Source organism: Homo sapiens, chromosome 8 (assembly GCF_000001405.40).
Source record: "Homo sapiens chromosome 8, GRCh38.p14 Primary Assembly".
NCBI classification, from domain to species: Eukaryota; Metazoa; Chordata; class Mammalia; order Primates; family Hominidae; genus Homo; species Homo sapiens.
This window is the reverse complement of record NC_000008.11, coordinates 87,915,268-87,926,644: the sequence shown is the minus strand read 5'-3', so window position 1 is coordinate 87,926,644 and position 11,377 is coordinate 87,915,268. Positions and strand designations below refer to the sequence as shown.

The following is an 11,377-nucleotide window of genomic DNA, read 5'->3' as shown; positions in this document are numbered from 1 at the left end:
TCCTAGATCTTATTTAAACTTTCTGTTTGGCTTGCTTCTTCAGACACCTCTCCAGTAGAGGAAGGAAGTCCCTGCTTCCTTTGCTGCTAGGTTGGGTAGAAATCCAGGTTCCACACTTGGCATCCATTAAGGCCTGAGGTAGTGTGCTTCTCATTACTGGTGGGCAGACAGGGAAGTTTTGGCTCCCCAATAAGCTTCCACTTATTCCCCACTGGCGGGAAGCGGTTTAGTAACTCATTAGTGTCTCATTTCCATTCTCACATGGCCCCTTGTGACACCACAGCTACACAGTCATAATCCTGGGTCTCCACTAGCCCTTCTCTGACACCACTTCATCAGGGATTCTAGGGGATCCTTATCAGTTTCTGGTGGGGATGAAAAGCATTTTTTTCTAAGTGCCTGTTCTTGACCACCTCTGTGCAGGTTTTAGACTACCTTGTTACAGTCTTTAAGAATGAAAGTCCAGGCTCTTCAATCACACTTTGCTGATATGGATGAGGTGAGGCACTTTTTAATTTAATTTAATTTTTTCTATAGAATTTCGCTTGAGTGGAGTGGTTATTGTTTAAAAATGTTCTGTCTTGCAGGGCTGCACCTTTCCTGGCCATTTGGCTAGAGACGGCTGATTTTCATTGCTATTTTACTGTTTTTGTTTCTGCACATTGATGTTTCCAGGTTACCGGCTTCTTCAGTTCTAAGCCTGAGATATATGAGTCAAAAAGAAAACTCAGAAAACTCTCTACCATGTTGTTCTTCAGGTGTCAGATTTCCTATCTGGTATGCCTTCTTCTTTCTACCTTTCAGCATCTTTTTATGTTTGTTTTATATATAATTCCCAAGATTTCTCATTTTGTTTAGTTGAAGGAATAGAGAAAAGTACATCTGTTCTATCTTCCTGGAAGTGAAAACCTACAACACTTAAAAAAACAGTATTATGTACAATAAACTGCGCATATTTAAAGTATACTGTTTGATAAGTTTGTATTTACATAAGCACTCATTAAATTTGCAAACCAATCTTAAAATTTATATGGACAGGGAAAAAAATTAAAATAGTTGAAACAATTTTGAAAAATAACAGTTGGTGGACTTCTTGTCTTGAACACTGACTATAAAGATTTAGTAGTCAAAATTTAGTAGTTGTCAACACTTTGTGCTACTGAAATAAGAATCAAGTAGTTTGATGGAAGAGGGGAGAGAATGTAAAAATAGACATGCTTATGTAGTCTTTCCATTTCATTACAATGATAACACAGCAATACAATAGAGAAGGAAAAGCCTTTTCAGTAAATTGTGCTGGACCAACTGATAGCCCTATGTAAAAGTAAACCTCAAGTACCACTTTATGCTAGCCTTAAAAATTAATTCCAGATATATCATATAACTTTATGAATTAATTAAAATCAAGTGAAACAAGAAAAAACTGCTTTATGAGAGTATTTATAGAAGGCTCTTTCAGTAGTTCAGGTGAAAGGTAATAAGGAATCGAAGAGAGGTAACACATCTGAGCATCTGTAGTGGGTGGGTGGACTGAGAGATTTGCAGGACTGGCTGTGGGAATTAAGGAAGTGGAAGTCATTCCATGTTGCCCGCTGGGTAGGGAAGGAATTGTAAATGTCTCAAAAAAAAAAAAGAAAAGAAAAGACAAGTAACACCAATAGGAATAGAGGAGTGGCGACCATGTCCCCATTTGGGCGGTTTATAAACACCTGAAATGTTCAGAAGTGCTGGGACCAATTCTCTTTTTTTTAGTGCCAAAGAAAAATGCACAAATGTTACAATCAGAGAAAGGGCCACGGAGCATGTGAAGGGCTTGCCTCCATGGAGAGCTGCTTGACTTGTTAATGAATAGCTGAGGGCTTGTGGGATTCTCTTCTTTCATCAGTGAGATAAGATGTGGATTGAGAATGAGTGATTGCCAACATCTGGCGAATTTTAGTTAAAATGCTTTCAGTGAACCAAATTTATTGTTGTGTGTCTGTTTGGTACGGGTCATCAGGTAGACAAATCAATGAGGTGACTGAATTAATAATATAAAGACATTTTCGTCATCTAAGCCACAATCCTTATATTGGGTTGATGTAGTTTTTCAATCAGACTGCCTCTGCTCAGGGTTTTGAGGTCTGTAGTCTATAAAATTTCACATCCATTGTTAAAATATGAATCTCATATAAGCAGTATATACATTAGCAATATACAAGTATTTATTAAGGTGTGCAGATTACAGGAAAGCACATTTCTATCACAAACGCTTCTAAAGAAAACATCAAAACAAAAATAGAATAGAGAGAGGATTGGAAATGTTAATTTAAATGATTTGAATTTACATATTCCAGAAGGAAATATGGGTTTATTTTATACAAACATCTAAAACCATTGCCCGAAACAGATATTTGTAATCTTAACAATTGAAGTTTGTTTGCCAGTTTGTTTCCTCTATAGAAGAGATAGCGTTTTTTATGAGTTAAGACCATTTTACTTTCTTTCTTTTTTTTTGAGATGGAGTCTCACTCTGTCACCCAGGCTGGAGTGCAATGGCGTGATCTCGGCTCACTGCAACCTCCACCTCCTGGGTTCAAGTGATTCTCCTGCCTCAGCCTCTTGAGTAGCTGAGATTACATGTGCACACCACCACACCTGACTAATTTTTGTATTTTAATAGACATAGGGTTTTGCCATGTTGGCCAGGCTGGTCTTGAACTCCTGAACTCAGGTGATCCGCCTGCCTTGACCCCCCAAAGTGCTGGGAGTGCCGCACCCAGCCAAGGCCATTTTACTTTCATTAACTTGAAACTATAGGGTCTTCCCAGATAATTTAAAACTCAACTTTATTTCTTTTAAATTCTGAAAGCTATATTTCATCTTCAGATTTTTTTATAATTGTCTCCTTTTGAGTTAATCCCTCCTTCTTTACTCAGTGTGTAGTATTAATAGATTGAAAGAATTTGTTTTAATAAGTGTAATATCTTAATATAGTGTAACACAATGTCTTATTATAATAAACAAACGATGCTTGAAACCATATCAAACATCTGTGGTTTCACAATACACTTTTTGTGATAACATATTAACAATATTACTATGTTATTATTTTCAAGCAAATATTCTGCTATTAATTATGTTTTCTTATTTAATCAATGTGGAACATAGGAAACAATGTGTATGAGAAAATAAACCTCTCTAATAATATATTATTTTATGTATGACTACTGTTTTCTATTATTTAATCCAATTTTCCTTTGGATAAAATAGAAATTTGCTTATACAAAGCATAAAATTTACTAAAGCCCTTTTGCTCTAATTTCAAGTCATTTCATCCAAGGTTTTTCTTATACAAACACACATAAAATCACCTACTGAGTTCTAATAATACCCTAATAATTTGCCTTTCATGTATTCTTATATTTTCAAATTCTGTTAGATATTTTCATATTTGTAGAGGGTGGGCGGGCCGAGTCCTTAATAAGACTCTCAATCATCTGGAATTTAACACATCTTATCTAAATTTATTATTTTCTGTCTCAAGAAGTTATCATATTATGACTTCTTCAAATGCTTGGTTTTTAACTATGACATTAATATTCTCAGTTAAATCATAAAGATCATTATGAACCTTTCCTTCAAGAAGAAAGACTTTTACATATCTGCATATGCTTTTTCACTTCTTCCAAAAATTCTGCTGGTATACTGTAAGACCTAATAGTCCCAGTAGATTCAAATTCAATTTGATGCCCAAATCTCAAATATCAAATCTTCTAAACTTTATTTTTCATGCATTCTCTATATCCAACCAGTTTCAATATTATGACAGCCAACCCCCTCCAATTTTTCTGTGCATAACAGCAATAACTGCCAAATAGCAGATGTACTATGTGTTAAGCACTTTGCTCAGCACTCAGCATTAACCATCTCATTTAATCTCCATACCCGCTTGGATCCAGATCTAGTCATTGGGAACTGGCTGCCAATATCAGTTCTGACTATTAACAGCTCTGGCTTTTGAAAACCCTATACCAATCTTGCAGTGGGTTGGCTTTATTAATCCCATTTTAAGAAGAATCCTGAGACGTAGTGAAGTCGAGACTTAATACCACAGAGCTAGTCATCATGGAAGCAAGAACTAAACTCAGGCACATTCAACTCCAAAGCATCAATACAATTATTTGTATTTTTATAAGCACAATTCTAATTTACCATTTATCATTTTGAACTTGAATAACATGAGCAGCCTCTAGACTTCTTACATTTGATCTACCTTGGATATCCTACACAGAGTAGCCAGACTAATATTCTTTATTTTTAACTCCCTGTCCAAGTATGAAAAGTGACTTCTTATTACCTGTGAGATAAAATCCAAATTCCTTCTCTCCGTTGTAAGTTTCCACTGACAAGAAGAGACCAATAATGATTGTCCTTAAACCCAAAGAGAAGTCATATAGAAAAAAACCTAGATTAAAGAGGCTAAAATCATACTGGGTATTTGGATTATATTTTTCCTTTTGAAAATTTAAATTTGAAAAAAAATACACATACCTGAGTGTGTGTTTGTATGTATCTTTGTGTGTGTGTGTGTGTGTGTAATTATGTTTTAGTTCTCTCAGGCTGCCATAGAGTAGATGATTTAAGCAGTAGGAATTTATTTATCATATTTTTGGAGGCTGGGAAGTCCCAGATAAAGGTAGCAGAGGGCTTTCTTTCTGGGTTGCAGATGGCCAACTTCTGATTGTGTCCTCACAGGGTGGGGCAGGAGGTGGCAGGGAGGAGAGGGAGCTCTTGATTCTCTTCCTTTTCTTATAAAGACACTAATCCCATCATAGGGGTCCCACCCTTGTGATGTCATCTAAACCTAATTTTCTCCCAGAGACCCATCTCCAAATACCAACACATTGGTGGTTAGGCATTGGTGGCTAGGGCTTCAACATACGAATTTAGGGAGAACAAATATTCAGTCCATAAAACACACACATATATGTACATGTATTAATAGCTGTAATGCAAAGACATCAGTGGAGATTCAGGTGTGGCATTTGTAGGTATTACTTTGAAAAGCAGAATGCATAAATTCAAGAATGTAAAAAGTATATTACTACTGAGAAAATAGTTTTATAAAAGGAAACCATATCAAGCAGGGTTCTCTTGAGAGGCAGAATCAATAGTATAGATAGATGAGAGGGGATTTATTAGGGGAATTAGCTCACATAATTATAAACGCTGAGAAGTCCCGTGATCTGCTGTCTGCAAGCTGAAGAACCAGGGAAGCCTAGAGCATGGTTCAGTTCAAGTACGAAGGCCTCAGAACCAGGGAAGCAAATGGTGTACCTCTCCGTCAGTGGTCAGAGGCCTGAGAATCTGGGGTGAGCCCCTGGTGCAAGTCCTAGAGTCCAAAGGCTAGAGAACCTGGAGTTCTGACATCCAAGGGCAAGAGAAGATGGGTGTTGCAGCTCCAGAAGAGAGAGAAAGAATTCATCCTTCCTCTTTTTGTTCTATCTGGGCCCTCAGCTGATTGGGTGGTGCCTGACTACATTGGTGAGGATGGATCTTCCTTATTCAGCTCAGTGATGAAAATGTCAGTCTCTTCTGGAAACACTCTCACAGGCATACTCAGAAATAATAGCTTACCAGCAATCTGGGTATCCCTTAATCCAGTCAAGTTGACACCTAAAATTAATCATCAGAGTAACTATCATTTCAAATCTAATCTTTATGGCATGGATTATTCTAGATTTATGCAAGCATGATAAAATCTCCATTTTTTTTATTGGAAAACAAATAAGAGGGTCAGAAATGCAAACGAGTTGCCCAAAGCTACACATCTAGAAGACCCAGTTGCCCCACGTTACACAGCTATCTCTGAAGAGTGTTTTGTATCTGCGGGATTTTTATCAGTGTCCTGACTCCATATCCTGCATTCATTCTACTACACCACACTGGATGATCACTAGGGTGCAGCATGAAGATAATCACATTTAGAGTGGCAGTTTTCTTATTTGGAGACTAGACCAAACTTCAGGTTCATGTCCACTTAGAAAATGAAAGTCTAAGACATTGAAAGCTGGAGCAGATTTTGACAGCTAGATTTCTATTGGCTAAACCGGATCCAATTTGGTTGGACCTTTGTTTACAGCATATACTAAAGAAGTGCTTGCTAACTAATCAGGGACTGCTTCAGTCACCCCAAAAATATAAGCAAGGGTGGAACAAATTTTAAATATGATTTTTAGGGATAATTTACATTCAGTGTGTAAAGGATTTTGACACATTCAGTAATACACCGGGATAATAACACATACTCTATCACCATTTTTGAATCAATTTTTCAAATCCTTTGTAGATAAATACTTAAAATTCAATAATTTGAAGAGGATATCTGTTGTCTTTTATATACAAATGATAAAATAGTGATATTAATAATGATATAATACCTTGCATTATGCAAGCAAGAAAATTTCTAGTGTTCATCATAAATTGTTTGTACATATATTCATCAATAATGTTTGGCATGACCTAATACATTTCAATGTTTAATTTTTGTTCAAATGTCAGAATTTCTGTGTTCCATTTGCAAGAGTATTTTTTGGTTGGTGAAGGATTCTTTCACCTCTGAGTGGTGTTTTTGGTTAATATTTCTTAAAGAAATGTGACACGCAAACATAACCCACAGATTCTCAATCACATAGTTCATCCTCTGTATGTGAGTGCATGTACATTTTCTGTATATATGAATTTGCATGGTTGGATTGTTAATGCTGTAATCAACCATGATCATGTTATGATTTAGTACAATTCGGTCTCATTTAACTGAACTATATATGTCTATCACCACTTATGCTTTATTGTCTTCTTATTGTCAAATCTGAAAGAGAAGTAATTAATTTGATGCTTGCTGTATAGACCAATGCAATGACCTTGTAATTCAGACAACAAATGGGCCACTTTCTCTGTTGAAACTTTTTTTTTACGGCTGCCTGCACTCCTCAGGGCATTCCAATACATAGCACTCTGTTTCATTCACATAAAACTTAGACATTGACATTCAATTCTACATCCTTCTGGCTTTTCTGCAGAGTATTTTATCCCTTTACATGAACATGATAACTCATACTGTTGTACCCCAAACCCTTGAACATTTAAACATTTAAAATAAGAGACTTTTTAAATATAAATCTTTATTGTAGGAAATTTAGGTGTTGAAGCACCTGAAGTTTAAAGTCTTATTACTTTTTGCAGGCTCTGTAGAGAGTTGAGATAAACCATCGTGATTATGAAGAATTTATTTTAGAATAAATAAGTAATAAAGATTCTTGAAAGGATTTTTATTATGTTACTATCTTAATGATTATACTCTGAGTCTGAAGCAGAGATCTTCCTGAAACTGAGTCTGTGCAGATATTATGACTAGTTGATTGGGTATAAAACGCATAAATACATAAAATAAGTAACGAAATCAAATAAGACTTTTTGGCAGTGCATAAGAAAATAATTGGCTGAACATTTTACACTTAACTAGAAATTTTTGGAGACATAGCCTCAGGCATATATGGAAGGCACAGCTTGCTTTATTTTTGTTTTGACTCGTAACTATGGTCTAAGATTTCCACAGCCTTTGTCTTGAATAGTTATACTGGATCATTTCTCAAAGACACTCAAAACTTTGTGTCTAAACCACACCATTTAATTTTCTTTGAGAAAATTTTGACCTTTGTGAGGTGTGGTCAAAAAGTAGTATGATATCCCTCATATTACATGTAAATCAGTAGTGAAGGTAATTCCAAAGCAGAATGTTCAAAGCATTGTTCACAGTTTTAACAATGGGAACTTTATTAGAGAAAGCACTCAGTATCTAGATATGACCATCTTGAAGGACAATGCTCATATTATTAGAGACATTCCGACATCCTGTTACAAACCCAAATAGAAAATGCAAAATGAATCAGCTCTTTTTAGTTTCCCCTATGTTTGGAGTTATAGGAAACTGAAGATAATGTGTTTTCTGCAAGTAGTTTTGATTAGTGTTTTGGGAAATTCAGCTTGTTAATTCCAGCTTAGGCCAGTTGTAAGATAAAGCTGCTGTGAACCAGAGAGACAATGAAATAAGCTGGTTGAAGAGGCTAAGCAAATGATGAGTAGTCTTGAATGTAGTCTTGGGAAAGAGCCAACAAGATCTCATTCCTCAAGTCTGACTCTAGTTTAGGATTATGGGAGAAGGTTAAACTATGAGTCCTCAAGTGATCTATGTGGCTTAGCACAGCTTCTGAGACTTAGAAAGAAGAGACCTGTTGTGAACTTTTGAGAAATAAAAGCAGGGCATGTAGCAATGATCATGGTTAATATGTCAAGTTCATTTCAAAGCATTCACTGTTTGTTTTCCTTTAAATAAGATAAAAAGGAAAATAATAGAAAAGAATAGCTGATTTTTTTAAACCTAGGACTCAATGTGGAAGTACTGTGGAGTAGGAAAGAAAAGCATCAGCAGTTTCAGTTTGACACTTCCCAGCACACTCATTAGAATCAGTTCAAGCTTTGTATTTGAAAGGAGAAATCCTATACTAAATCAGAGGGTTTGACTATTTCTTCAAATTGTTTTTTATCCCAGAACACCCCCTAGGTAGGAAAATCTCAGGAATTTAATCAACTATTGAGGTAGCCTGTTTCTTCCTTCCTTGCTTCTGTTGCCTTTTTGCTGTGTGTTTTGAATTTAGAGAAAAGGTTATGAAATTAGGGGAAAAGTCATGATTCAAAGGTAGCTGAATGGCTTTTTTCATGCAATTCACATGAGTTCCACTCTTCCTAGAATTTCCCTTTGTGTACTAATTAGAAAGTTTCTTTGTGAATCTGCATTCATATCCCATTGCACATGAGAATGAGAAGAGGCTATTTTAGACACTGGGACTCATCTCTTGTAGGAAACAGTCATGTTCACTTTGATGTCTTAGCAAACAGTTATTTTTCAAATCTCAGATCTTTTCATTTTTTTTCAGCAAGTGGTTCAGGTGATACCTAAGCTAGGACTTGAGATTTTTCTTGGAAATGGTACTAAACTTCTTGTGGTGATGGCTGTGATTCCCCTTTCTCCCAGGATGATACAGTCGCAACATCAGGCTACACTGCCTTAGGCCTTGCTGGGTTCCTAGATGAGTGTGACAGAGGAATTGGGGAAGAGATGAAACACTTTGCACACAACAGATCAAAGGCTGAGGGGCTGTCAAAGGAAGGCACTGGGGGACCACTAGTAGTGGCCAAAGGATAGGTTGAAGAAACCAAATCAAACAGATTACTCAATGCAATTAACGTGGGGTGTGGGATTTGAATCACCTCTTTTACATCATCCATAAAATCTTCTGTGAATTCAAAATTCACAAGCCGCTGAGTAAATTTGACTTCCTGTAGACCCATACACATACTCATTGATCTAAACTGGGAAAGATTCAGCCTGCCCAGATGAGGAAATAGCTGACTACCTTAATGCAACAGAATTCTCTCATTTAATAACTGTACTGCAAATTCTTGTCCTGTCTTGGAAAGTACAGGACAATTTGAACCTAAACATTAGGGGAGAATCCACAACTTTGAGGTTCTGTGGAAATGAATTTATCATGGATTACTTTAGTTTTATCATTTTGCCGTGACTTTTGTTTGAAACTCAATTTTAAATAAATTGATATTATTGAAAATACATAGTAAAGATTGTATGTTTGAATTTTAGAACCCAAACTGGGGTCTGATACCCAAGGGCATGCTGTTTGACTGCTCTTAGATTTAGTTGGACATTATTGACCTAATCTTTTGAAACTTGTTTTTTGTTGCTAGGCAACTCACTTGTTCAACAGTTAAATAACATGTCCACTTCCCTTTTTCTCCCTTCATAGAAAGTGGAAGTAGGGTGGGGCTAAAGATTCCATAGATGGTTATTCATTTAGTTTGAGAGAAAACTAGAAAATGATATCATTATTAATCCACCTGATAATATAGTACCTCCTTTTGAAGCACAATTAAAATATTTGGAACACATATGCACATAAATGACACCAGTTTTACCTGGAAATTTTGTTCCTTTACCACATTTTTGCATTCACTAATTGTCGGTAGTTGAGGAAATGTTTGCAGCAAAAACTGAGTGTTTGAAACATATCCTAAAAACTGTTAAAGAATATAGGCCTAAAGTATCCAACAATTATCACCTAAAAGACTTAGTATTGTTAAATTTAACATAGCTAGTTATATGCAACACAGACTTATGGGCCATTATGTGTCAAGTTGAGGAATATATTATGTTCCAATTTATAAAAGGACGTACCTCTCCAATAGTATACTGAGAAAAGGAAAATAAAGTGCTAAAAGGTCCCAGTGGTATCCTAGCAACTTACTTAGGGTCTTGGAAACAAGGACATGTGCATTGAATCAATTCCAGGAATTTGTGGCAGTAGCCTGTGTTACGATGGGGAAATTGCCAGGCCAGGGAAGAGAGTTAATAATTATTATATGCCAGGTGGTGTTCTTCCATTTTGTTTCCCTCAGTGAACATAAGATTACCAGAGTTTTGGTCTGTGCCTTTTCTCCACAGAAAAGTCTGCTTCCTCCCAAAATTAATGAATCATTGACAAATGTATAGTGTATATTTATTACAAAGCCCAAACAGTCACATATTATATCGTTTAAACCTGTCCTAGTCTTTGAAAATCAGTATTATCCACATTTTAAAGCTGAGAAAAACTGATGGCAATGAAGTCTAAGTGATTTACCTGAAATGGCCTATCCAGTCACTAGCCTACATGAGACTGGAACCCAAGTCACTGGTTATGCATCAGAGCAACACGGCTGCCCTGCTGGCCTGTTGCTGCTAGAGAGTAAAGGTAAATATGCTGTGTGTAATATAAATCAGTTTCATTCCTCTCTGGGTTTGCAGGTCAACACAGAGCTCCCCTCATCGAAAATTCTGGGACTATTAATACATGGTTCCTCCTCCAGTCTAAAGGATGCATGCACTTTGCTCAAAACAATTTAATTCAGCTCTCAAGGAAAGCTTTCACTGTTGCTACCATATTTCTGTCTTTGTCTCTCTCTCTTACCCTCCCTCTATCTCTCTCTTTTTCTTTCTTCTTAGCGTGTAAGTTTAATTAATATTGCAACCTCTCAATGTATTTTTTCAAGCTCCTCTCTTTTCTTTAAGCACTTCGAACGTACCCCAACAGCCACAGAATTCCTGGGTAGAAATAATGTCTCTTGAGCTTTTATGGTGTCAGACTGTAATCTTTGAAAACAGTGGTCAGTTGACATGATTTCATATTTGTTTATTTAAACGCACAGACTCTTTCTGTCTCGTAAAATCTGTTCTAGGTCAGCGTGTACTGATAACCTACAAATCAAACCCCAGGATCCT

General features: G+C 36.3%; 1 long non-coding RNA gene across 1 annotated transcript; it reads left to right on the top strand.

Annotated features, from left to right (window-relative positions):
- Positions 1 to 343: 343 nt before the first annotated feature.
- LOC124901972 (uncharacterized) lies at positions 344 to 964 on the top strand. The gene is made up of 2 exons (XR_007060995.1): positions 344 to 499; positions 588 to 964. It is a non-coding gene; the product is annotated as an uncharacterized LOC124901972 (long non-coding RNA).
- The last annotated feature ends 10,413 nt before the right edge of the window (positions 965 to 11,377 follow it).